Here is a 27,389-nt window from a genome sequence, read left to right on the forward strand (position 1 = left end):
TAAAACCAACAAGTCCATGAACATGTCCCCAGTTGTTAGCAAATCAGTACACAATACCTGCCTTAAGTGTCTGATCCTAACTTCATTGTGTGATTTTCTTTTTACATTGAAAATGTGCTCATGGGGTTCACCAAGAACCTCGAAAGAGCTGTAACAAGATAGAGTGTGCCCAGAGGACGTGGTGGTGCTTGCACATTTTGTCTTTTTTGGTGTGACCTCAGAAAGTGATGATCCTTTCATTTTCTGGTTGGCAGCAGAGGGAGAGGGGCAAGGGGCCTCCTGCTTCCCTCCAATCAGAGCCAAGGATTGGCAGTAGATGGCCTCTTCTTTCTAGATCCTCTGCTTCTTAGTAGTAGCAGGCTGCCCTAACTGTTTTCATGTTAAAAACTCTGCTCAGGGCAACAAGCATGGTAGAGCCACTGTATACATCAACTCTTTTTTTTTTTTTTTTTTTTTTTTTTTGAGGCGGAGTTTTGCTCTTGTTGCCCAGGCAGGAGTGCAGTGGCATGATCTCGGCTCACTGCAAACTCCACCTCCCGGGTTCAAGCGATTCTCCTGCCTCCGCCTCCTGAGTAGCTGGAATTACAGCCACCCGGCACCACACCTGGCTAATTTTTTTGTATTTTTAGTAGAGACGGGGTTTCGCCATATTGGCCAGGCTGGTCTCAAACTGCCAACCTCAGGTGATCCGCCCGCCTCGGCCTCCCAAAGTGCTAGAATTACAGGCATGAGCCACAGCGCCCGGCCCACATCAACTCTTAACTGTATTGTGAATTGTATTTGTGGATTACATACATATCCTTGAAGGCAAAAAATAAATGGAAGCTCAATCAATTCTTTTGCCATGCTCAAAATGTACAGCTGATATTGTGAAGTGCTAAACCCTGTGGAAATGATAGTTGTCATCAGTTCAATGAACAAAATGCAAGCTTGAAAAACAGGACTTTCAACATGTGTTTACCATCAATTGATATGAACCGAACAGCCATATATCTCTTTTTAGTGGGCTGAAACTGACTCCTGTCACAGGAAGAATGGGAAAAAGTTTGATTTTGCTTGAAAAAAATAACATTATGAAAGCTAAAACTCATGATTTTAGAAAATGTAATATCTTCTATTTAAAACAAATATAGTTTATTACAGCATTATATTGCAATAATGTTGGAGAGATAATTGATTAAAATAAAATGAAAATGTATGGAGTAAGCAAAATTGAATTAATTGCTTCTGAATGTAATGTTGTTTTCTTAAATTGAATGAAATGTTTTGAGTCTTTATTCATGCTTTTTCGTAGCCCTTTCAGACATTTTAACTAATATATATTAGTGAGATAGAGAAACCAATATAAATTAGTGAAATTAATATTTGTTATATCTCAAATGGATATAAAATAGGTATTTTAACTAGGTTAATAGAATTTAAAAATTCTGTAAGAGGTATTTGTTTTGAATTATAGATCCTAGAAAATGGAATTATTTTAATCATCTAATTTGTATGTGTTTAACTTTAAGAATGTCTCAATGCAGGAAAAAAAGAGAGGTTTTTATTGTGGCTCCTAAAATTTAGAACACAGATTATTGTAGAAGTTCTCGCAACTGCCTAAAAGGAGTACATGTTTTGAAAGAATAAACAGAAAGAAAAAGAAAGAACAAGGCAAAAGAGTCAGCCCTTGGTGAGGAGGCTTTGAGGAGCCTTGTGGGTCTGGGTAGGCAGACAGTGCGGGCCGGAGGTGGCGCATTCCCTGTGCGGCCTGACAAAGCGACGCAGAGCCCTGCCCTCCAAACAACAGCACAAATGACAGAAGCCATCAGCTGCGGTCAATTTTCCAATGACAAGGCTTCTTAAAGTAAGGCGGTTCAAAGCGCAGGAACCCAAACACTGGGGCACAGTGAGTGAAGCTCACAGGTCCTGCACCTGCCGCTGGCGTCTGTTACAGCTCATTTCTTTCGTGTGTCAGGTAGAAAGGGCACTCTATATAACTCTGCACTTGCCCAGGAATCTCTCCTCTACAATCGGCAGCCAGTACTTCACGTGTCTGGAGGGAGCGGGAGAGGCAAGCAAGGTTAATGACGTGCCTAAGGTCACGGGAAAAGTAAGTGGAGAAATATGAGCAGCCTCCCAGACCTTGGGCCTGTTTCCCTCCCATTTCTGTGCTGTGACACACAATGCAACGGATGAAGGGACGGTTCTCCTTTTATCATCCTTTCCAACAAGTGGAAAAATTGCTTTGCTGAGACAGTGACCAATTTCTTTCTAAAGCGTTCAGTACACAAGACCTCCTGAAAGTACCTATGTAAATGGAACCCACGTCTTCCTTTTCTGTTCTTCTTCTTATCGTGGTGTTGGTTGTTCCTAATATAAGTATTATTTTAGGCTTTCTCTTACCACAGCCCTTTAAGCCACAAAGACCCTCTAGGCTTCTGATGTTGAGGTCATGGAGGCCACTCCTTCCCCAAATTCCGATCTGCGAAGGCATCAGAGGAGAACGGCTGTGAGAAGCAGTGGGCGGGAACCCATCCTTGGCTAGGTTTACAGTGCTGTTGAAGGGGCTGATGGCGGCTACTGTTTGTTTTTACCGTCTCTCGCTCTCTCTCTCTGATAATTCCCTCCAAGTTGGACACTTAAAATAAGGTCCTCGTAAACTCCTTCAGCTTGAGAGTTTCCAGGAAAGGGAATGTTAATTTTGTTGACAAATTTCAGTATCCCAAAGCCCCAGGTCTTAATTCATTGTCAAACTCTCGGTCCTGAGCCTGCATACTCCCCTTGTGCTCCTAATTAGTCTTGTCATGAGCTCCTATGCTGTTGTCTTAAACACAGCCCTGTGTCCTGGGAGCCAAAGGGCGCTTTGGGGTGCGTAGTGCTGTATTTGTGTATATTTAAAAAAAATAGTCATCGCTCGTCTTGCTGTGGCCGCCATCATTTTTCCGTGGAGGTGTTGCCATAGAGATGTTGTCTGATCCATCTCTATTGATATCACCCTTTAAAGGGGCCCCTGAATAGGCACTGAGGTAGGTAAATGTATGCAGTGACATTGAGCGGATGATTCTATTCTGAAAAATTCCTGCACCATTTGTTTCTGTGCTTGTCTGAGGGCCGGGACACGGTGTTGGGTTTTGTTGCACGTGCTCTCTTCACAGGCCCGGAGTTAATGCAAGCCTTGTTTGAAACCACTGAAGCAGAAATTTCTCTGCTGCCAAGGACAAAAGCTTCACAGGCCACCTCGGAGGCTGCTTTGGGAAGGCCGTGTCTCCGGGGCTCCCAAAGGAAATGGGAGATAACCGGGAGCAGGGAGGAGCACCTCAAATTCCCCCAGCCCTCCTAGACTGTCTGGACACATCTGGCCCCCTCTCTTCTGGGGAAGTGCTGGCCTCTCCAATCAGAGGTTTTGATATAATTTGCCCTTTTCCAGCCTGTTGAGAGAAATTGTCTGAAAGATAGGCGTGCTTTTCTGTCCGTGGTATTAAGTGTGTATTTGTACATCTTCTCTGCATCTTTTCTGTCTCACATCATGGGGGAGAAGCTCTCTTATAAACAACAGTCACAGTTACACTGATTCACACCTTTACGTTTAAACCAAATGATACCACGTTCTCTTCCTACTCTGAGAAAAAGAAAGGGAGGAAGAAAAGACACAAGGGGGGAAGGATTTATTGAATGCCCTGTGTCCTGAAATAGTGTCGGGGACTTGGTAAGTCATAATAAACCAATTTTGTTGAAAAAATGAACAAGGGACTATTTAAAGCCAAGCATTGTGCTAGGAGTTTCCAAAAGTATTTTCTGTACTCTTCTCAGCTCTGTGATAAAGGAGTTGTTAGCCCCTTTTTACAAAAAGATTGAGTGACTTACCCAAGACCGCACAGAAGAGAAGCAGTGGCCCCTGGACTTGAATCTGGGTCTTTTTCCCAGACTCCAGCAGCTCTGCCCCAACTCTATTTGGTGGCCTCTGCCCATGGGCCGGTGCTGTGGGAGGTAGGACTGCTTTCTCACTTCTGGGCACGAGGGTAGAGTGGATGGGGCTCCACTTTCCCCATGCTCCTTGCTCCGACCCCTGTTCTTGTCCATTTGGCCGTGGCCAGCCCCTGCCTGGTGTTAGCAGCATCGTAGAAGGGAGGCTTATGAGGACAAAAGCAGAAATTGCAAAGTTATGGACATTTCCTGAGCCTCGAGATTAGCTCCAGGGTGGTTTTTGTAACAGTGGTTCTGGCCCCCAGATGTCTGCTTCTCTGTCAAGTTACCCCATGTGTGGGTCGTGTCTGCTGAAGGCTTAGCAGGAAGGCAGGGGATAAGCATTTTTTTTTTCCTTTGGGAACTGTGGCATGTGGATTTTGGACATGGAACTTCAGTGTTCATTCATCCTTTCATTCATTCACTCACTCCTAACTTCATTACTTCATTTATTCATTCATATACTCAATCCACACTCTATGTAGGACATGAGCCAGGCACAGATGTCCAGCATGAAGCATGCAGAAATGAGTAAGGCAGGGGCCCTATTTCCCATCCACTAAGAAATGTTTAATAATAGCACCAAAAATAACAACAGTTAACAGCTTTATCATTTACAGAATGCCCTCACAGCTCTCATCCAATCTTCACCACATAAATTGTGGTAGGAACTATTGCTAAATGGATTTCATAGATAAGGAAAACAACACTCAGATTTGGCCAAAAAGTCAGTAAGTGGCTGGGGTGAGTTTGCACCCCAGTCCTTTGATCCCAGGTCCTGTGTGGTTTTGAGTAGCCCCAGTGTTTCCCCTCTGCATTTCTCTGTCTGCCACTTTATGACCAAGGAGTCAGCCCATTTTGGATAATGAAACCACCTAAACCCACTCTGTTTGACTCCTTCGAATAGTGGGGAAAGGGTGGCATTTCGCAGAACTCTTCAGGAGAGGCTGCTTTGTTTATGTTCTTGAGAGTTCACAAGTGGGTTGCAAGGGTCCCCCTATTTTGGACTAAAGTAGTGATTTTCAATTTTGTCTGTACATTGGAAGCTTGCAAACACTCAGGCCTGGGCCCCATCCCAGAGATGGTGATTCACTGGCTTGAGATGGGGTCCAGGCAGTATGTTTTTCTGTCCACATCCATTCTGAGCTAGGGTGTTCCTTGGCCCTACTCAAAATGCTCAGTTTTGGCCTGTTCTGCAAATATCCTCTGACTGGAAGGGAATGCTGAGAGGAGGGAGGTGTATGCCCCAGCAGCCGTCTGGGCTTAAGGGATCTCATGCCCTGCTAGGCACCAAGCTAGAGCGGAGGGTCCCTCATGGATGGCCTGGTGGACACTGCAGGTTAACATTTAACTAGCAGTACTCTGGGAAACAGGTCTAATGTCTGACGTTAAGGGTTGCCTTCAGCGGCCCAGAAAATTCCTGTTAAATTAGAAAATATGATGTCACTGCTATCCTGTACAATACTTACAGGGGTAATGACACTGTGTCCGGGAGAGGAGGCATGAGAATGGAAAAGACAGACCACTTCTTTGCATAGGGCTCCCAGTCTGGAGGAAAAATACATACAGAGATCATTTCAACAGAATGGGACATGGGGAATCGGGACCGACTCTGCCTACAGAGGTCCAGGAAGGATGAACCACAGAGATGTCCATGATTTGGTTTTGAAGGGAGGGTTGGATTTCTCCTGGCCCGACTGTGGGAGGTGCTTTGCAAATGGAAGGCACAGCAAGAACAAGGCAAATCGTGCTCAGGAAAAGCGAGACATCCAGCAGGAGCACAGGGGGAAAGGTGAAGCTAAGCCTAGAAGGTTGCAGGTTTGCAGCTTTATTCTAGAGTCAAGAAAGAACTGGGAAAGGATTTCAAGCGAGGGAATGACAAGGTCTGTGTCTTGGGAAGAGCAGCTGTGCCGTAATGTGGAGAATGCATTGGGCTTACAGTGATTGATTCCAATGAGCAATGGAGATTGAAGGGACAGAGACTAATTCAAGCTATCGCAGGGCCAGAACTGGGTGGTGGCTGAAGGTTGGAGAGAAGAGGCCAGAGGAGGATGCTCGTGTCAAGCCCCTTGGAAAGGAGAGAATGGGACTATTTATAATGAATTAGCAGCCAGCAGCCGCTCCTGTCACTGCTGTTAGAAAACTGGCCTTTGACCTCGGAAGGGTCCATCCTCCAACTGCCACTCCCTGGCTCACTGCAGAGTCATGCAAGGTGATGCTCCCCCATAACTATGGTCTCGATGCATCTCAGATTCTAGCCCCTCAGCTCCCTATGGGGGTTAATCTGCATCTGAACGTACTGGTGCAGGCATTCTCACATGTGGGGCCTTAAATGTTAGAGTCTCTCTTGCTGACCAAATGCTCTGGGCTCCCCAAGGCTGAGAGCTATTAGGGAAACAAAGGAAAGCCCTTTTAATTAGGCTCTCTGCATTTCCCCGCAGGAGAGGGAGGAGGGGCGCAAGAGCCCCAGTTGTTCTGGTGATTAGATACAACAGGGGAGAAGTTTAAAACATCTGGGTGTATTTATACCTCCAAAGCCATGACCGAAACACGTGAGGATTCAAAGGAGCTGAGCCTTCCACTGGGCTTTTGTTTACGTTTATTGGCAGATGCCTGGGAGGATCCAGGGTTGATGGGAAGTCTCAGGGGCAGCCCTTCCTCAGTCTCTGGAGACACTCACCTTCCCCTCCCCCTCCCGCCAGAGCCCAGGCCTGGGGAAGAGAGGAGGGAGACTTATTATTCTAGAAAGTTACATTTATAGTGTTGTTCAGCACACCACTTAAAAAAAATTTATTTCAGGTTTAGGGATATATGTGCAGGTTTGTTATGTAGGTAACTTGTGTGTCTCAGGGGTTTGCTGTACAAATTGTTTTGCATCCAGGTACTAAGCATAGTACCTGTTGTTTTGTATCCAGGCACTAAGCATAGTACCTGTTGTTTCGCATCCAGGTACTAAGCGTAGTACCTAATAGGTAGTTTTATGATCCTCACCACTTTGTTTCTTAACCAAGTATCCCACTTTATACCCAGCAGGCACACTGAGGGATGGGAACTAGCAGACTGGTCTCCAGCAGGTTTTAGACTTGCAGTTAAGAACTGTGTTAAAACTCGCAACCAATTTTCTGTAATACATAAATACATATCCTTAAAAAAAAGGCGGGGAGAAGGAGCAATGAGTGTTTATAGAGATTTGTCCTCAGTAGTCACTGGCAAATTCAAACGGAAGACTATAGATGAAGACAAAGATTTCAGTGGTCTCTGTTTTGCAGCATCTGGCAAAATTCAGATGTCATTGAGACTCTGCAGTGGTTGAATGTCCTTTTCTACAAGTTATGGCTAGTGTAAGCTATTAGAAAAAAATGTCAATAAAAGAAGGCAAGATTCTTCTCATTTGATACCCCAGTGCGGATCTTCTAGAAAAGTCACCTCTATGCAAATCCTCTCACCCTGACAGCCGCAGAGGACAGGAAGCCCTTCCCCTGGCTGATGTCACATTTTTTTTTTTTCTGAGAACGACTACTTTTCAAAAAGGCATTTAGAACAAATTGTGCCGTTTGAGAGAAGACAGGGATAGAACAGAAACCGTCAAGCTTTAATTTCCCTGCTAATTAATGCTTGATCATCTATCCTTTTATGATTCTTGACCCCAGAAGGAAAATTTATTAGTACTTTTAGATTTTGCACAGTCGTGCTAAATGAGGCATGTAATGCATTAATTTAGTGCCTCGTTAGCATAAACAGGGCCTCCCCAGCCCCACCCCCCATTCCCCATGGAAGGTTTCTCTGGAGCTGTAGGGAACTTACCTAGCACAGAATGCATTATTTGGCTCTGGTGTCTGAGAGGCCATAGCCAAGGTGGGGGCTTGCCCTACCCACCCTGGGGGATTCAAACATCAGACCTGTCTCTCCTTTTAATGAGAACATTTAAATCCCAAAGGCTTCAAGCCACTTCACACCAGTCCTCATCTTACAGAAGGCCCAGTCTGTGCAACTACTTTTCAGCATCTCAGTCCTACCCCTCAAATCAAAAAATGAAATCTTAACCCTAGGAGGGGATTTCTGTTGGTTGGGATAGTGAACTGTTGGTGTCCTAGCTGATTCAGGTCATATTCAGCACAGGCATTTAGCCTAGATATTTACCTGGAATAGAAGCCAGCTCAGTAAATGCCCAGGTTTGCTGCAGGTACGTTTAAAACCCTGCAAAGGATGCTTCAAGTTGATGCAGTCCAGCACCCTGTGTTTTAACGGAGGCAGAGAATTGTGGAGAAGTTTGCTGGGCAGGGAGCAGGGACTCTGCTCTGACTCTGCCGCCAACTCCCTTGGGAACTGCGGAAAGGCACTTGCCCTTTCGGACCTCTGCTCTCCCATCTGTTAAACAATCTGTAAATCTCATGTCTAAGGTCCCTTCCGGTTTTGACATTCCATCATTCAACGTGCTGAGAATGCCAGGGGCAGACTGCGTGAAAGAGAAAGTCTATCGCTTTGGGCAAATCTATTTTTAGGAACATAACCCAAGAAGATAATTAGATGTACACATGAAAATAAGGTATTTATGAGATTACAAAAGACTGGTTAAATAAAATATAGTATATCTATATGACACAATCCTATGAAACCATTAAAAATAACACCATAGAATAGTATAGTCATGGAAAGACATTCGTAATATTTTGTTTTGCAAAAATCCAGGGCTTTTAAACAAGACTTCACACAGGATAATAGTTTTGCAAAAATATATCCAAAAAATATGCCTAGAAAGAGATCTGAGGGGATCTACACCAAACTGTTAATATCTATCTTTAGGTAGTAGGGTTTTAGGAGATATTTGTCTTTTTTATAATTTTCTGTATTTCCAATACAGAAAATGAAGGTGTATCATTCTTAGAAAAAATACAAGTGTGTATCATTCTTGGAAATTTACTTAAAATGAATGTGTATCATTCTTAGAAAAAAATATTAAAATTATTTAAAAGAAACAAAATTTTGTTCTTAAATATGTGTATTCTTTTCACATCTCATTTTTCAGATACATGAAATGGCAGCTACGAAACATCTTAAAAGGTCAGAAAATAAATGAATTGTTGGCTAGAGGTCAGCCAACAATAAAAAATTTGGATGATCAAAACTGCTTGACATATATACAATGCTAGGTGAGTTAATTTTATTAAGGCTGAAGAGAAAAAAATGTATAAAGGTTTTCAAATGAAGAACCTGGCCTGACTGGCATGTGTCCTTATTATGATCCCAGCGTGTCCATCTTGCAGAGGGCTTAAAGATGATCCACATCAGCTCCCACATTACACAGACAGGTAAGGCACTTGCTCCAGGTCTGGGAGCTGTTTACAGCAAAGCCAGGACTAGAACCCTGTGTCCAGCTCTAGCTCCCATCTCAGGGCCAAAGCTACAAGGACACCCGCCCTCTCCGTGTGACCATGGAGGATGCCGGGGCTGAGATTTCCTTCCTGGAGCGCTCCAGGTATGCATTCTGACGGCTCACGTTACTTTCTTCTCAGTGGCGGTCCTTGGCTCTAGAATGTGATCTCCTTGGAGATAGACATGGCACTAGGCGTGCGGATCCTGTCTGGAGTGGGCAGAGCTTCTTCTAGAATACCAGGGCTTCCTGCCACATTCTCTTCACTGCACGGCAGTTTGTCTGTGTTCTCTGAAGTACTCTTCTGGGTTAATTTGCCCTAAGGGAGGAGAGCAGAGATTGGAAAAGTCAAAATATTAGATTACGTGAATATCGCTTATAAATTACTTGGAAATTCAATTCTACCACTATCCCCTGAGAATGTCCTCATTGCTGGGAACTGTCCTCACTGCTGGATCTTTGGGAGGAAGGAGGGTGATGAAAGGAAAGAGGAAGATGCTGTAGACACTGCCGCTGCACTCCAGGGTCTCAGAATCTGAGTGGGGGAATAGTCAATGGGAAGAAGGAGCTGTAAAATAAGGCAGCCTAGAAGAATGTGAAAAGGTACAAGCCGAATACAACACCAGCAGACTCAACAGGGATTGTTTAGTTTGGAGGGAGGAGGTCCCTAAAGGCTTCCAGGAAAGGATGGCATTTGAGATAGGTCTTTGGGAAATGGGATCTCAACATTTAGAGACAGAGAAAGGAGCATTTGAGGTTGAGGGAGCTGTGAGTGACAGTATGGTCAATGCAGATGCAGAACGGCCTTGGGGGTGGAACTAGAAACAGGTAAGGGGCCAGTGTGGCCGGAACTCAGTGCACATAGGAAAATATGAAGAGAAGGTGTTGGAGGGATGTGGGGTCATGGTTTGAGGTGCTTGAAGAACCCATAAAAGTATCTGGACTTATCCTATATGAAAAAAGGAGGTGTTGCCTGCAGGATTTTGAGGTGAGCTGTGCTTTAGGAATTTTTTTTTTTTCACATTGGAGGGGAAAAGACTAGAGTCAGAAGCAGTCATTTTAGAGAGAAGAAATAATCGTGATGACAGGAAGATCCCAGGTCCCCTGCTTCCAGCTGGCGAGGAGAGAAACCAAGCTCTTTGGTTCTTCTTAGACTTTGTGGCTGCTCTTACAACTTGCTGAGAGAAACTTCTGAGCTGGTGTTTCAGCAGCTTTAGTTAGAAGCCAGGAAATGTAACTAGTGATGTTGGTGGCCCCTCTGCGATGGGTGGAAGGCTGGCGTCCTCCCCACTACCATGCAGGAGAAATTGTGCTCCCACGCTAACAGCTGGGACCCCAGTGTGGTCCTGAGTCGGCGACTGTAAAGCTACATTTTCCAACTAAGGGATGCCTCAGGAAATAATAAATCTCTCAGGATTTATGGGCCAGGAAATTCTTTCAGGAGAGAAAATAGAGAAGAGGTAAAGCAGAGATGGGGCAAGGCAGGAGAGCAGCTGCCCAGGACCCTCCTGGCACAAATATTGGGCTTGGTGAGTTGCGGAATTGCCCATCAGAACTCATGGCTGAGAAGGACTTGAAGGATAATCTAATAGGATCTCTTTTGCTTTCCCCTTCATTGAACTCATGCTTCCTTCTCTGCAAAGTAAGAAGGTTGAACTCAATGACCTCCAGGGTCTTTGCCTCCAGGTTATTTGATGCTTGTGGTGAAGCCAGTCTTCTCACTAAGGGCTCTGGTTATGCCACATGCCTCATTTTCCCCAGCTGAAAATGCAATCAACCGAGTCACCTATCACCCATGTTTGGGCTGAGGATTAACGATGGGAGGACATCTGGAGACTTCCCTCGGAGGGATACAGCTGGGTCTGATTACCTCTTATTTACTGTCTTTTTACTCTGGAGACGGCCCACATACTCACCCTAAGGAACAATGACAGAAGCATGCAGACCATCCCAACACACCCTCCAAAACACCCCCAGCCCAGCAGCCAGTCGCCATGCATAAAATGCATAAATCCACAAACGCAGACTCGGGCACACACATAGGCACACGCACACACGTCCTCTTTCTTCGCCTTTTCTGCCTGGTGTCTGTCAAACAGTGCATCCCCTTCATTCTCAGAGATCTGAGACCGGCCTTGTTCTGGAGTTGGTGAATTCCAGCACACCCCCTGCCTTCATTCCAAGCTGGAGCTCCGGGTGCCGTCAGCAGATGGCGCCCGGAGCTCTCAAACGACTGGGTGAATGCCTCGGGCCTGAACTTCTGGCCTCCCCACTCCCACCCTTGGAATGGGATAATTTGGGAGTCATCTGTGGGAGGGCTGCCAAGGCCTTAAATTTACTACTTGGAGCTGGGATAATTTTCCCCAGACGGGGCATGGAGGGGGAGAGAGGAGGAAGGAAGCGGGGTGGGGGCTGCAGACCTGGTCAGGGCCACGACAGCTCCAGCTCTGCCAGCCAAAGAAGGCCTCACTGAGAGGCCCCATCCAAAGGGGTGTCTGAAACAAGGGCAGGTCACACCCTGGAGGGGGAAATGCTTTCACTGCTATGAAAACCCAGGAGAACAGAAGGATTTACAGACAAAAAATAAAGCCAACAAGAGCTTCCAAATCATGTCTATCCCTCCCACTTCCAATCTCTGACTCATCTTCTAAGCCCAGTTTCAACCTCACCTACTGTGTGAAGCTGTCCCTGACCCACACACCTCCTGTCAGCATTAACCATTCATTTCCTTTTAACTTTTTATTCTGGAATTTTCCAAGCATATACAAAAATAGAGAATATGATATAACAAACTCTCTTATACCCACGCCCAGCTTTAATAATGACAATTATCAATGTTTTGCCAAATTGTTCATCTATTCTCCAACCTTTTTTCTGGAATGTTTTAAATCAAACCCCAGACATCATATCATCTCACCCCAAAACACTTAAGATGTTTTTCCCTAGCGTTACTTATTTATTTATTTATTTTGAGATAGAGTCTTGCTCTGCCGCCCAGGCTGGAGTACAGTGGTGTGAACTTGGCTCACAGCAACCTCCACCTCCCAGATTCAAGTGATTCTCCTGTCTCAGCCTCCTGAGTAGCTGGGATTACAGGCTCCCGCCACCCTGCCTAGTTAATTTTTGTATTTTTAGTAGAGACAGGGTTTCTCCATGTTTGCCAGGCTGGTCTCGAACTCCTGACCTCAGGTGATCCGCCTGCTTTGGACTTTCAAAGTGCTGGGATTACAGGCATGAGCCACCGGGCCTGGCTTTCCCTAGAGTATTTTAAAACAACCTAGACATCTGCATGCATCTCTGACTGAGAAGGACTGCTTTCCCTTTAACATAACCACTTGCCATTATTATATCTAACATTTACAATCATTCTTTATGGCACTTAGCTCCCTGTGGCATTTGTCATGGTTCGTTTGGTGTGAGAGTTACACCGAACATAAGTGTGTATCCCCTCTATTTGACTGTAGTTGCGTTTGGAGCATGGATCAGACCTCACTTATTCTGGAGTTCTCAAGGACTCCCAACAGCACCTGCTCAGAAGCCCTGGAAAGTCAGAGCACAATTAAGGACATTCGCTCTAAGAAGACACTCTCACGGTTATCGCTGGAACCCAGGGTCCCTCCAATTGGAAATGTGAAGTCAAAGGAGGAAATTGCTCTTAGGCTGAGTCACAAGACTCGTGTCCTTTTCTCCTGAGGTAGATAAGAGACACACACACAGGCAGATACACACCTCATGCCTCCAGGAGCCGCAGAGGCAGAGAATGCAAAAAATGTGGTGGTGCCAGCCGCAGCGAGGTCTGGAAATGCCTTCTTAATTGAGCCTTTCTGGGAGCTGCACAGGCTGGCTGGAGGAGGGACAGGAATGGAGAGGCGAGTGAGGTGGAAGGGGCCACGAAGGGCCATGTCTGAGATGGGGCCCAGGGGTCTTTGATCCTACTTCGTTTGTCATGAGTTTAGAGACCCAGAAAAAAGAGCCTTGAGTTTCTTCCAATAAAGCACTGTTACCTGAAAAATGCCCATCAGAACAGAATTGCTCCACCTTTGAATGGTTCTGTCTATAGGAAAGTCTTTTCTAATAGGAGCCCAAGTCTCTTTTCCTGCAGCTTTCACACACTGGGGCCACTCTGAACAAATTTAGTGGTTTGACAGGAATGATTAGGGGTGGGGATGGGACTCAGAAACCTCTGCAGGGTGCCTAGTAAGTGCTAGACATCTTGCATGCATTAAGTCGTAAACCAGAAAACTCCAGAGAGACCTTTGCTGTGGATATTACTGTCCCATGTTGCGGATGAGGAAAGGGGCTCTGGGAAGTCTGCAGGTTGCCCAGGACACAGGTCCACCCAGCTCTCATCTAGCCTGTCTTCTGGTTTCCCTTCAGATGGCTGGAAACACGGCTCCTGGCTCCTCGAGCCCTCTGGTCTCCCGGCTTCAGACCTCCCTTACAGCACATACTTTCCCAGCCCATCATGACCAGCTTCTGGGGTTCCCTCTGTTTGGTCTGCAACCCTCTTCAGTGAGATCCCAGACAGGGACATAAGCATTCTTGTTGCTTTGCTGGGAAAGCACGATATGCCAGCCAGCAACCGATGTACATCATCATTTGCTTGAAGAAATAACATGAGCTTGTGACTCCTGGCCACACTCTGGGTAGCAGGAGGAGCACAGTCTGAGGTCAAAGGATGTCACAACTCTCAGCCAGGCTGGCTGAGACAGGTTCTAAAACAACCCTTTCCAACCTACTGCTCTCCTACTCCCAGGACCTGGAGCCACTGACCCTGCCATGGAACAGGTTGCATGATGTTTTACATCAAATTGTATTGATTCTTTGGTGAATAGGTAATACGTTCTCATGGTTTAAAGTTTAAAATGGTACCAACGATATAAAGTAGAAATCCTCCCTCCTACTCCTTCCTCCCATCACCCATCTTCCACTTCTAGGAACAATGTTTCCAGCTTCTGGTGCATTCCTTCAGATGTAGTCATCATGGATACAATGCAAATAAGTAGGTATATGTGTATCCCTATTCCTTTTTCCTTTTTAAATACAAAATCAGTGTATTATACTGTTTACCACTGCCCTCACCTTTAAAAAGTTTTTTAGATTTTTTGTAGAGATTGGATCTTGAGATGTTGCCCAGGCTATCTTGAATTCCTGGCCTTAAGCGATCTTTCACCTCGGCTTCCCGAAGTGCTGGGATTATAGTTGTGAGCCACTTGAACTCCCTCCTTTTATTCACTTAGCACGTATACCTGCAAGTTTGTGACTTGAAGGGGTTTAAATTTACCCTCTTCTGCACCAGTGGTCCGAATGTGAACCCTACACTGTGAACCCAAGACAAAACACAATGCAGGCTGGGCATGGTGGCTCACACCTGTAATACCAGCACTTTGGGAGGCTGAGACACACAGAGAGCTTGAACCCGGGGGTTCAAGACAAGCCTGGGCAATACAGTGAGACCTTATCTCTACAAAGAAACAAAAAAACAAAAAAACAGACCTAGTACTGTGTGCTTGCAGTCCCAGCTACTCAGGAGATTGAGATGGGAGGACAACTTTGGCCCAGGAGGTAGAGGTTGCAGCAAGCTGTGATCACACCACTGCATTCCTGGACTGTAGAATGAGACTCTGTCAAAAAAAAAAAAAAAAAAAAGAGATGAACCTCTCATTTAATGCTTGTTAAACAGATAATCTCCACATAGATATAAAGAGATGACTGCAGATGCATTCTTTTTTGCATCTCCCATGTACATTTTCCAAGAGATTTTGCACTGCTCTTTGGGGGGTGTGACCCCTACTTTATAAGGACAGTAATCATCCAGGGACTGACATGATTTATCCAAACTAAGCTGCTGCCCTATTTGAGCTACTCTGATTTTGTGCTTTGGAGGCATTAGAGTTGAGCATCTGAGAACAGAGAGACTTGGCTGAGTTTTCTAAATAATAACTTCAATATACTCAGATGCGCTAGGAAGAAGTCACGCTGTCAATATGATACGGTCAAAGGACTCAGGTTTCTCCTTCCACCTTGAACTGAAGATGACACATGCACCAAATCATTTTTTTCTAAGCTTTCTTTTAGCTTCCATGGCTGCAAAGCAGTGATAATTCAACTTGCCATTAGGGTTTTAAGTACTCCCAGGTATTAAATACCTAGCATTAAACAGTACAAAAATATATTTTTAAAAATACCAACTAGGAAAGTGCTAAAATGACACTCTGTCTTTGCCTAAGTATACTATGAGAAATGGAAAAGCTGGCCTCTGGGGGGCCATCTGCTGAGCCCAGGAGTCTAGGAAGCTTCGATGATATATGTGCAATCACTGAATTATGCTGGAGAAAAGATCTAAAACAGACATGGTTTCAGAGCATTCATGATAAATGGTTCTTCACAAATTGAAGCTGATTATTTCTCTCCCTCACATTCCCAAAGAGGTGGTCTCTGCTTTTAAGCAGAGTTCATTCCTGGAAACTCCATCTTAAAGGGAAATCCTAGTCTGATTGTATAGTTAAGGGTCTCTCTCTTCAAACATGTTCAGTCTCATGAGAGAACTGAATGGATGAAAGTGACAGGAAGGAAGAATAGGCACATTTAGACCCCGTCAAACAAGCGTGGCAAAAACTGAAGCCTGCTTGAAATGATGCTCTGTAAAGAGAATGCAGTTTCGTATAACGAACAATTGGTGCAGTTATTGAATAATGTAGATGGCCGTTGAAGTGAAAAAGTGCAGATGGAGACACAGTAAGACCTGACGCATGCCTGGGAGATTTAGAAAATGGTTCCCCAGGCCGGGCGCGGTGGCTCACGCCTGTAATCCCAGCACTTTGGGAGGACGAGGTGGGTGGATCACGAGGTCAGGCGATCGAGACCATCCTGGCCAACATGGTGAAACCCCATCTCTACTAAAAATACAAAAATTAGCTGGGTGTGGTGGCGCATGCCTGTAATCCCAGCTACTCGGGAGGCTGAGGCAGGAGAATCACTTGAACCCAGGAGTCGGAGGTTGCAGTGAGCTGAGATTGCACCACTGCACTCCAGCCCGGAGACAGAGCGAGACTCCGTCTAAAAAAAAAGAAAAGAAAAAGAAAATGGTTCCCCAAATGGAGCCCACTGTGTTGCCCCCAGCTTTCTCTTCCCTTCACCTGGGCCCTTCTTCTACCCTGAATATCTTGGCCCAGGGTAAGGGACAACTGTCGTAGAGAGCCTTTCTGTGCCTCAGTTTTCTTCATAGGAAAGTGACCATGCAGCAGTCCAAGGACATTCGCCAAATGCTGCAGAGCCTGGGAACTAACCGCCTCCCTTCCAAGCCTGATGGAAGAAATGGCCTCCCTTCTAAGCCTGGTGGACCTGGGACATCTGAGACCAGAAAACCAGAGGCCAGCTGATTAAATATTAATAGTTAGCTGTTATGGGAAGGTCTCTTGAAAGAGTTCAAGACCAGCCTGGGAAACATATGGAGACGCCATATCTACAAATAGTAAAATAAGTTAGCTGGGCATGTGCCTGTCATCCCAGCTACTCAGGAGGCTAAGATGGGAGGATCACTTGAGCTCAGGAAGTTGAGGCTGCAGTAGCTATGATTGTGCCACTGCATTCCAGCCTTGGTAAGAGAACAAGACTTCATTTCAAAAAAAAAAAAAAAATCCTGTAATCCCAGCACTTTGGGAGCCTGAGGCGGGCAGATCATGAGGTCAAGAAATCGAGACCACCCTGGCCAACATGGTGAAACCCTGTCTCTACTAAAAATACAAAAATTAGCTGGGCATGGTGGCACATGCCTGTAATCCCAGCTACTTGGGAGGCTGAGGCAGGAGAATCGCTTGAACCTGGGAGGCGGAGGTCGCAGTGAGCCGAGATTGCGCCACTGCACTCCAGCCTGGGTGACAGAGTGAGGTTCCATCTAGAAGGAAAGAAAGAAAGAAAGGAAGGAAGGAAGGAAGGAAGGAAGGAAGGAAGGAAGGAAAGAAAGAGAGAGAGAAGGAGAAAGAGAGAGAGAAAGAAAGAAAGAAGAAAGAAAGAAAGAAAGAAAAAGAAAGAAAGAAAGAAAGAAGAAAGAAAGGAAGGAAGGAAGGAAGGAAGGAAGGAAGGAAGGAAGGAAGGAAGGAAAAGAAGTTAGCTGTGGTGTTAGCTGGGCCAAACTAAGAACACCAAGTCAGTTTTGTCTGTGTTTTACATCTACAATTTTAAATATCAAATTTAAACATTGAAAAGTTTTTTTTTTCCTTTGAACTGGTGAGTGGCTTTGGCTCCCAGCAGAACAAATGGAGAGAAAGCAATGAACTGTCTGTGGAGTGAGTGTGTATTAAAACGTGGAATGAGGATCTCCCCCACGGGGCGGGGAGACTAGGAGAAAGCTGCCAGAGGCTGCTGGCAAGAGATATCCACTGGTTCTAGACCTGGCGGAGAGCGCTGGAGGTGGGTGGGGAGGTGGGGGTTGGGGAGCGTGTTGGAGTTGGGCTTGGGTCATTGTAGGTGAGCCGGCGTGGTTCTCTCTCAGGAAAGCACCAGAGAGGCCTGGCTCTGGGGAAGTTGGAGGTTTTACTCCCTGGCATCATCTGCAGTCGAGAGTGATCTGGCAGATACTATCTCTCCCAACCAACTTGGCAAGGCTCTGGTCCTGTGTGAGGAGGCAAGGAGTTCTCTTGGATGAGGTGAGCACACCCAGGTGAGGCAGCACACAAGAGGTCCACGCCTGCTCTGCAGACAGAGGGAGGTTAGCATCCGGAAGAGGCAACTACACAGCTGCCACCCCATTCGGTACTTCTCTCAAGGCACACGGGCGGTGTGGCAGAGCCTGTTCCTTGCTGACCAGTGTCCATTCCCCCTTTCTTCCTTAGTATCGGATTCCAGTTTTATCTGGAGTGGTGATGAGGCTACATTTCCAGCCCTCCTTGCAGCAAGGATGGCCAACGAGACGCAAGCACAAGTCATGACGTGGGTCTTCAAGGGGCCCGACTTGGTGGGCAGAGCGCTGCATTGGCCTTTGGCGTTCCCCGTAGTCCTCTGCAGGGGACTCTGCAGTAGCCCATGAGGTTACAGGGCTGATGCGAGGCTTGTGCTCTGGTAATGATTGATCATTTTGTAGGCTGCAGCCTATCTACAGATGTCTTTTAGATGGGCAAATAAACTCCCAATTTGGCAAAGTCACTCCAATTAGGACTCTTACTACCAGCTAAACAGAATTCCTAACTGATCCAGATGGACTTGGAGAGAAAAGAGCTCCCAGTCACTGGAGATGTGCAAGCATCAGTGGCAGGGGTTAGTGGGGCGAGGGGCCTGGCAGGGGCTGGCGGGGCAAGTGCAGGACTAGAAGTATTTGCTATTTGGTGACCCTCTGTGAGGTGTTCAAATCCCAGCCTGCTGGGGCTATTGGTTAACTGGTTTTAGTCTGAGCCTTAAAACAACAACAGGCTCAAAAGAGAAGAAATTCATCACAAATTAGGGGCCCATTTGTGTCACCTGCCTCTAAAGTCGGAGGCTCTGCAGCAGACGAAGCCCTGTGTTGCTGGGGAGAAGGTGGCTTCACGGACACTCCCGTTTCAGTGTGACTGCCTTTGGGGCCTATAGGGGGCACTAAGGAACTATGGGATCTTGTTGCCTCTGTGGCGGGGTCAGCGCTCAGACCTCCAGCCAACCCAGCCAGCAAGAAGAAGGAATGGGGCTGGGGCTGGGACAAGGGTCGGTTATAGTGGGTAGAAATGAAATCGCCCCTTCCCCATTCTTCTTAAAGATCTAAAATGCAGAGCACCTGATTTTAAAGTTCAGAAGAAAATGTCTCCCCTCCGCAATGAGAACTTGACATTTCTGTCACTGAATCTTAGACTAGAAAGGGGCCTTGGAGATCAGCCAGTCCTCACTATTCATTCAGCAGATGAGAAACTGGAGTCCCGAGAAGGAAAGTGATGGATCCAAAGAGAGGCAGGGCGTTAGCAGCAGGGCTGGGCCGCAGGCTGGGCCTTCCAACTTCCAGCAGAGTGTTCTTTCCACCACACCACACCCACCGTCTTGGCCACGTTTGTTCTCTTTTCTGGCCCTGGGGGGACTCTGGCAGGGCTGGGGGTCTGATGTGAACTGGAATCTGTTCAGTTGCACCTCTCATTGCTCCTGCCAGCTCGCCAGCTCTGGCTGATGGAGGCAATTAGAACCAGACATCCCATAAGGCCATTCCAGAAAGATCTCTTAAAATTCCACAGCAGCTGGGGACTTGCCTTTCCCTGCAGGGTTCATCTGGTGTGTAAATACCTAGTTGTGTAAGGCACAGGGTTGGGGGGCCATGCTTACACATACACAGTCTCTCAACCCACATTCACCCACAGATAGAAAAATAGAGAAATATTCAGTAGGAATTCCTTTCCTTTCTACCTCCCAAAGAGAGAAGTGAAGAATTTACAGGCCACCCTGGGAACATTTAATTACTTGCTGCTGAGGGATGGGCACTGTATTTGCACTGGGCAGTGGGTGGCAGAGGGTGGGGGACATCCCTGGTTTTCTTCCTTGCACCGCAGAGGGCTGCTTCCCACCACTGGGTTCTGAGGAAGGCCAAGCAGTGTTTGTGGCCAGCTTAGCAAATATGCAGTCCAGGAGCCTGGCTCAAAGATGTTGCCTCAGTTTATCTGTGGGAGCCTTGAGGCACCAAAAGACAAAATGGCAGAGCAAGGAATCCAACCCAGGACCACTGGCTTTGATTAACCTGTTCAATGATCTCCAGTGACTGTAACATCAAAACTGAAGGGCAGATCCTGGCTCATGAGTTGATGGAGCCCTCTCTTTCTCAGGACTCCCATTTCACAGTTCTCACCAGTCAACCTTGCTTTGGCCAGCAATGTGCTGCTGTTAGTTGGCCAGTGTTTAAGTAGACCCAGAGGGCCTTTTGTTAGAAGTCAGTGGGAAACAGCCAAAGCATTGCAAAGGCAGATGGAAAAACCAGACACGTTCTCTAACCTGAGGGAGCACCTAGTTCCACTGTGATTTACAGGAGGCTAGAAGGGGAAGGAAAGGGTCATCATTCTGACAAGTCTACATACCAAATTGGTTGCAGAGCTTAAGAGAGAGCCCACATCTTCTGTTTCCCAGACTAGAGTGTTTTCAACACCATCACACCACCACTCCCAACTCCTCCCTTTGAGGTTGCATTTGGCCTGACTATCCCATGAGAGTAGTGTAAAACAGTGTTAAAAAATTAAATCAGGTCATGATTACTATAATTTTTTATTGGGTAGGCCCAATAACTCTGAGCACCTTTCGAAAATCTGTCCTGGGACTTGTGGTTAATTGGTGATTAATCACCGATCCATTTATTAGATGATTTCACATTACCAATTGATGTTATCTCTGTACTCCCCATTTTCCAGTGATCTCCTCTTGCTGACATCCCTTAGATCTTCTATCTGTGTTCCAGATGTGGCATTTTGCAGACTTAGCACTCAGGGAGAGAAGAATGAATCCATCAGTTCGTTCTGCTGCTGATTTTTGTGTTTGGAAGTAGAAGTGCATTTGTTTATTTACTTATTCAACATCAAACACTTGCTGGTGCTGGGAAAGGTACCAGGTGCTGGGGTAGTTGCTGGGGAATAGAGGGACAGAGAACTTGGTTTTAAGGGATTTAAATTTTGGTAGAGGGAGACAGAACATACCCACAATTAGCTCTAATATAGAGAATAAGCCCTACAAGAGAAGGAAAGATGAAGTGAGCTCAGAGGGAAAAATCACTTGGAGAATAGGGGGGAGAGCAATCAGGGAGGAGTTCCTGGAGGTGGTGGCATTAAAGTGATGCCTAGAAGGATGAGTGCTTCTGCTGTGCAGAGACTGGGGAGGTGGAAGAAGTGGGGCAAGGCATTCTAGGTGGGGGAAGGCAAACAGGAAGGAGAGCCATGGCTTGTTAGCAATCATGAGAGGGTCAGTTTGGCTGATTAGGCTGGTTGGCTGGAGGCAGTCCTTGGATGGTGACGGATATCAAGTGAAGAAGTTTGGGCATCAGGCATGGAGAAACCACCATGGCTTCCTGAGTGGACAAGCCATGTGGGCATCACTACCCTAGAGAAGGGTGAGCAGCAGCAGCGTGGACTGGGTGGGCATGCACACACTGTGACTGCCTTGCCCCGGAGCACCTCTCTGTCCTGTAGTCACTCAGAGCTCTGCTGTGTGTCCATCTCTCCCACTCCCCCAGCATGAATCCATAGACCCCAAGAAAGACCTGCACTGTCTTGTGTTTGAATGATGACCCCCTGGCAGAACTCAAACCACACACCCTGCTGAATGGAACTCTCTTTTTCCTTTCCATAAAACCAGAGAAGTATGCAGAAACCTCGAAGGTCATCAATTCCGACATCCAGTTGATGCTTAGATTTCCTCCATTGCTTCTCTGCAAAGCGATTGTCTGTTCCATGCTTAAATATCTCCAGTGATGGTGAGCTCACTACTTCAAGAGGCAGTCCATACTCAGGGTAGTCCTGGACTCACTAATAGAATGGACGGAGCCTGCACCATCCCCATTTCTGCCTCACCCTCGCCCGCTAGCACTGTGACAAGACATCTGTCCACATGTGTTGAATAGCCCTGAAAGAGAGAGATCCCCTTACCCCAGAGCACATGAATTTCCCAGAAGGTCCCTGGAGTAAAAATCTGGTATTAATTGTACTCCTGTTTGGGCAGCACTTTAGAGTTTGCAAACGGCTTTCACAGGCTTTATTGTTCTAGTGCCCACAACACCACTGTGAACAATGCTGTGGCATTTCCATTTTATGTATCAGGAAACAACTCCAAAGGGAACTCGCCCCAGGTTGAACATTGTGTAAACGTCAAAGCCAGGATCCTACTCCCGTTTCTTCTGACTCTAAATCTTGGAATTTTCTCAGCAAACCAGGTAAGCAGGGAGGTCTGTCCCCAAACACTAGCCTTGGGATGTTTTTTTTTTCATTAAACAACGTATTATGGATATAATTATTTGAATCAAAGGGGCAGGATGGTGTGTGTGTGTGTGTTTGTGTGTGCTTGCATGCAAGGCCACGGACGTGCCATGGAGGTACTTTATACTAAGCTGAAATACTTGACTAACAGGTTTCCTCTTCCTGTTTCTCTTCTAGAAGTCTTACCATGGCCCTGTCTCAGGGCACTCAGCCCCAAAGTGGTGGAGCAAGAGCACTCCAATCGGCACCACATGCTGAGCAATTGAGCTAGCATGCTGATAGAGGCAGGGACGACACAGGCCTTGTCATCGATAACAGGATGAATACTGAGGGCCATCAGCCCATGAGTTCTTTGCTCGTCTATCCTAGAAAAAGGAATGTTTTCAAATACCTCCACTATCAATCACCAAGAAAAAAACATTTGTTATTCATTGTTTTTTGTGTCCTCTGATGTAACGTTTTATCCAGGAGTTCAGGGACCTCAGTTTCTTTATTTGTAAAATGGGCATAGGTGTGTGTGTGGCGGGGTGTGGTGGGGGGCGGTAACCATGGAGGCATTGGACCAGTTGTTCAAAAGGGACCTTCTCAGTTCTAGGTATTTGTTTGGTTTGGTTTGGTTTTGAGACGGAGTCTTGCTTTTGTCGCCCAGACTGGAGTGCAATGGCATGATCTCGGCTCACTGTAACCTCCGCCTCCCGGGGTCAAGTGATTCTCCTGCCTCAGCCTCCCGAGTAGCTGGGATTACAGGCGCCTGCCACCACGCCCGGCTAATTTTTGTATTTTTAGTAGAGATGGGGTTTTGCCATGTTAGCCAGGCTGGTCTTGAACTCCTGACCTCGTGATCCACCACCTCAGCCTCCCAAAGTGCTGGGATTACAGGCCTAAGCCACTGCGCCCAGCCCCTTCTAGGTTCTGAAAGAGGGAAAAAAAATGTAACGTGGTTCCAAAATTGACAGTGACCCAGGTGTAGTGATGAAGGAATAGATTCATGCATGTGCAGTTGCCAAAGACAGAGAACCTCCAAGCGGCCCTGGGGCTGTGCTTGTCTGCCCAGTGAGGGGATGCATGAGGAGACTGCAGAGACCGCTCCTAACAGGGCTGCTGTGTGATCCCACCAAAACATTGCAAAGAACTTGCTACAAAGTTTGGGGGAATTGCTGTCCATAGTTTCAAATAAGATGTTGCAGAATGACAACATCAGGGTGGCAAGATATGTCCAAAAGAATACTGAAGCAAGACAGAAGACGGCTGGAGGTTAGACTTATGAACTGGGTAGGGCTGGTGATGGTGAGGAGGAGAGAGAGGGTCAGCTCATTCAGAAACACCCAAGGGAAGAGCACCAGGAATCCAAAAGGGGTTGCCCTGTAGGGCACCTGCCCAGGGATGTATGGACAAAAGATCTGGCTTCAAGCCAGCCTCACCACTTACTAGCTGTATAACTCTGAACAATTAATAGCACCTGCCTCAGACTCAGTTTCCTCAGTGGGGAAATGGGAAGAATACTCCCTACCTTACAGAGCTGCTGAGAGAGTTAAATTACATGGAATATGTGGAAATGCTTAACAGAGTCCATTCATACATTCAGCAAGCATGTGTTGCGTGTCTGCTGTTTGCCTGGAAAATAGTAAGTACTCTATCACTACATTAAAAATATAAAGTCGGATAGAAAATGCATTCTTTGAAGTCTAGAATAATCCTTAGGTATTAGGGAAGTTCGTAAATGAAACCATCGAAAAGATAGGTGAGTTGTTTGTTATTCATCATTTTGGGTATTTGTTGGTGGAGAGAGCTGAGCTATTCAGTGAATTCCGGTACTGGCAAGATTAAATGGAGGGGAAGGACGGAAAAAAGCCGTCTCCTCCAACAGAGAAGAAAGACAAAGGCCTGAGCTTTCACAGCCTGAGCTTGGGCTAATTAAACCAGTGTTGTAACATTTTTCTTTTCTTTTCTCTTTTCTTTTATATACAGGGGTTTTGGGGCTCTATCATCTTTGCCACAACACTGGACACAGAAGGCTTCTCTAACTGTGTTTTAGCCCATTTGTTCCTCATTTGGGATCCTTAGAATTTTTAGGGGTCCATGAGGATTGGAGTAGGGATTTGTGACATACTTTCAAAATTTCAAACATCATACAAGAAACCATGTGTCCTTACAATGAGGTTTTATTTGGCTAGAAGATTAACCAGTCATGTTGATCAGAGGCTCTGGTGTATGCTTTGATGAATAAAAAAGAGAAATAAAATAAAGGCTGCTGCTTAACAAGTTCAATGTGTTGAGAAGTCAAAATTCTTTCAAACATAGAGCATAGAGCAGTTGGAGATATAATAAAGAAAGAGTAAACATATAATTGAAAACGTTAGTAGCACTTCAACCCAACTCTCCCATTTTCCAGTTGAAGACCCAGAGGCCAGGGAAGTAAAGACATTTCTAAGGTCAGAGCTGGTCAGTGACGAAGCCAGACCCAGAGCCCAGGTCACCAGGCCATGGGGCTTTTTACTGCCTCAGTGATCGTGAGCCTGGTTTTAAAATTGACTGCATTCATCTGGAGGTGTTAGTGAAAACAAGTCACCTTCCTAAAGTCATTGCCTGGGTATCAAAGGCAAGAAGGATGCTACAGAGGACTTTTCCTTGGGCTTCTCTTCATTTGAGTGCAGTCACCTGATGGGTTGTTAGTCCAGCTCATGTTTGGCTGATGTAATTTCCCAAGGCAAGGACAAGACTGACAGGCAGGAACGCCCGGGGAGGTCCTTGGGGGAGATGAACATCCTCTTTTTATCTTCAAAGCAAATGTTCAGGAAGAGAAATGGCAACACTTCCCAGAATTCAGGCTGAAGCAAAACACAGATGACATATTGGACTGGCATCTCATCCGTGAGATAGGGGGACGTGACCGTCAGGGGTCGCTGAGGAAATGAATGAGTAAATTTATCTTACAGAGGTCAGTAAATAAGGGAATGGGATGTGTAAGAAACAGCTCCTGTCTGTAAAAGGAGCAGATGGATAAATCTAGGTTTTCCAAACAGAGGGGCTCACAGTTGTGAGCTGTTGAAGAAAGGTATTTAGTTAAAACGTCTGTCTCAAGGTTATTGGTAAATAGCCAAAACTAGGGCACAAGAATTCTGGGAAAATTAGATAAGATGAATTTAGTTTCACAATGGCTAAGGGGCCGTGTATTTCTATTAGGGAAGGCTATATATGCTTCATTCAGCAGCATCTAATGATTACATTTGGAACATGCAATTGCTGTTTCTGTTTTGGGGGCTATCACAATTTAATGAAATATCTGGTCTGGATTTCTTCAGGCAGTTGGTCTCTTCAGTTTCCACAGATTTAAGATTCTATCCTCTCCCTGCTTTCTTCCAATGAAGTTGACGTACTGTGATTCCAACTGGATAAACTTAATAGTCACACATAACTTTTGACTAGAAATAGGTGGACTGTAAGTAATCATTTAGTCTTACTTTTTGAAGATCTAAAGTCATGTGGAAGCCTAAGTGGCTGTTTGAACCCAGACATCACTCCTAAAGGCATTCCTTTTCTTTATCCCGTCATTCCACAAACACTTATTAATCACCGACAGCAAGCAAGGCACAGGGAAAGGCACGGGAGGAGGGGCTCCGGGTGTGGGAAGATGGCCAAACACACGGTCCTCACACCAAGTAGTAAGTAGTCCTCACTACACAGAATCTGGTAGAGAAGTTGGAAAGTGAGTTCTTCCCAGCAACGACTAACGTTCTAACCATCACATCTCAACAAGTATTTAATGAGGTAGAAAATGCTCGCGGCAAAACTGTGGATACAATATGCTTTGAATAAGAAAATATTGGTCTCCTTCCATGACACACATGCTCCAGAAGCCCAGATGTCAGCCACAGCACTGCCCTCTCTGCTTGGAACTAACCCTTCACGAAGCCCTGGAGATGATGGTGTCCTCATGGTCCCTGACTCTGTCTGCTTCTTCGTGTCTCCCACTGCCATTTGAGGCTGAGTCACCGTCTCTCATCACTACAGCCCCCTCACTGCCCACCTGTGTCCACTCCTGCCTCTTCCACATGGCAGCCTCCTGGATCTTCCACGAAAGCAAATCTGATTTTTATGCCACGTCTCCCCACAGTGGCTTCTATTGTTCTTAAAGTTAAAACATCTTAAAGTGGACTGTGAAGCCCTGCACAACCTGGTGTCTCCCTGCCACCTGGACCCTGACCCCCTCTTTTTTTTTTTTTTTTTTTTGAGATGGAGTCTCCCTCTTCCGCCCAGGCTGGAGTGCAGTGGCACAATCTGGGCTCACAGCAACCTCCGCCTCCCAGGTTCGAGCAATTCTCCTGCCTCAGCCTCCCGAGTAGCTGGGATTACAGGTGCCCACCACCAGGCCTGACTAACTTTGTACTTTTAGTAGACACGGGGTTTCACCATGTTAGCCAGGCTGGTCTTGAACTCCTCACCTCAAGTGATCCACCCACCTCGGCCTCCCAAAATGCTGGGATTACAGGCATGAGCCACCCCGCCCGGCTGACCCTGACCCTCTTTACTCCAGCCACGCTGCTCTTCTTCCATCCCCCCATACTCACGGGGTCCCTCCTCTCGTAGGGCCTTTGTACATTCGACTCCCGCCAGCAAATCCCGTTCTTCCCCTCTTCACCTGGCTGTTGCTGACTCATCCTTTAAGTATCAAACTGCTTGTCATTCTCCTGGGAAAAATGTCCTCCACCCCTCTGTCTACATTAAATTTTCCACTTACGTGCAACTAGAGCTTCATGTGCATCTTCTTTATAGCCCTAAAGATGCTTTAACTTTAATTTTGTGTGCAGTTATTTGATTAATGTCCAGTTCTCCTATTAGACTGTGAACTCGTGAGAACAGGACAAATGACTGTGTGGTACAGTAGTGACTCTCAAGTATATTTTGACAGAATGAAGGATGATCTCATGCTTGGCCCCTAGTAGGTGTTCATTAAAGTAGCTGGATGAATATGGGAAGAAGAGAAGCAATAGTAATTAAGAAAGCTGGGTCCCAGCACTTTGGGGGCCAAGGTGGGTGGATCACCTGAGATCAGGAGTTCGAGACCAGCCTGGCCAACATGGTGAAATGCTGTCTCTACTAAAAATACAAAAATTAGCCAGGCATGGTGGTGGGCACCTGTAATCCAAGCTACACAGGAGGCTGAGGCAGGA

The 27,389-nt window shown here is 46.2% G+C and overlaps 2 long non-coding RNA genes across 2 annotated transcripts, besides 5 other annotated features; one reads left to right on the plus strand and one right to left on the minus strand.

The window, feature by feature from the left end:
* Positions 1–1,521: 1,521 nt before the first annotated feature.
* LOC105374282 (uncharacterized) lies at positions 1,522–2,955 on the minus strand. The gene is made up of 2 exons (XR_924838.4): positions 2,386–2,955; positions 1,522–2,035 (listed from the first exon to the last, which is right to left on the minus strand). It is a non-coding gene; the product is annotated as an uncharacterized LOC105374282 (long non-coding RNA).
* Positions 2,140–4,114: an enhancer, noted in NCBI's record as "VISTA enhancer hs1563". NCBI's record gives its function as "enhancer in: midbrain (mesencephalon)[5/5] | forebrain[5/5]" and the evidence as "EXISTENCE:transgenic organism evidence [ECO:0001131][PMID:17130149]".
* Positions 11,478–11,537: a silencer, noted in NCBI's record as "silent region_15010". NCBI's record gives its function as "represses an Ori minimal core promoter by ATAC-STARR-seq in GM12878 lymphoblastoid cells {active_cell/tissue: GM12878}" and the evidence as "EXISTENCE:reporter gene assay evidence [ECO:0000049][PMID:35858748]".
* Positions 11,790–12,084: a silencer, noted in NCBI's record as "tiled region #5455; HepG2 Repressive non-DNase unmatched - State 10:DNaseD, and K562 Repressive DNase matched - State 12:CtcfO". NCBI's record gives its function as "represses a minimal TATA promoter and a strong SV40 promoter by Sharpr-MPRA in HepG2 and K562 cells {active_cell/tissue: HepG2 | K562}" and the evidence as "EXISTENCE:reporter gene assay evidence [ECO:0000049][PMID:27701403]".
* On the plus strand, positions 17,822–22,654 carry LOC105374283 (uncharacterized). Its single transcript, XR_924839.2, has 4 exons — positions 17,822–17,964; positions 21,602–21,719; positions 22,063–22,175; positions 22,396–22,654. It is a non-coding gene; the product is annotated as an uncharacterized LOC105374283 (long non-coding RNA).
* Positions 22,219–22,876: an enhancer, noted in NCBI's record as "OCT4-NANOG-H3K4me1 hESC enhancer chr3:193509438-193510095 (GRCh37/hg19 assembly coordinates)". NCBI's record gives its function as "activates a minimal SCP1, AML or CMV promoter by ChIP-STARR-seq in naive H9 embryonic stem cells {active_cell/tissue: H9 hESC(naive)}" and the evidence as "EXISTENCE:reporter gene assay evidence [ECO:0000049][PMID:30033119]".
* Positions 26,178–26,679: an enhancer, noted in NCBI's record as "H3K4me1 hESC enhancer chr3:193513397-193513898 (GRCh37/hg19 assembly coordinates)". NCBI's record gives its function as "activates a minimal SCP1, AML or CMV promoter by ChIP-STARR-seq in primed H9 embryonic stem cells {active_cell/tissue: H9 hESC(primed)}" and the evidence as "EXISTENCE:reporter gene assay evidence [ECO:0000049][PMID:30033119]".

Source organism: Homo sapiens, chromosome 3 (genome assembly GCF_000001405.40).
Source record: "Homo sapiens chromosome 3, GRCh38.p14 Primary Assembly".
NCBI lineage: Eukaryota > Metazoa > Chordata > Mammalia > Primates > Hominidae > Homo > Homo sapiens.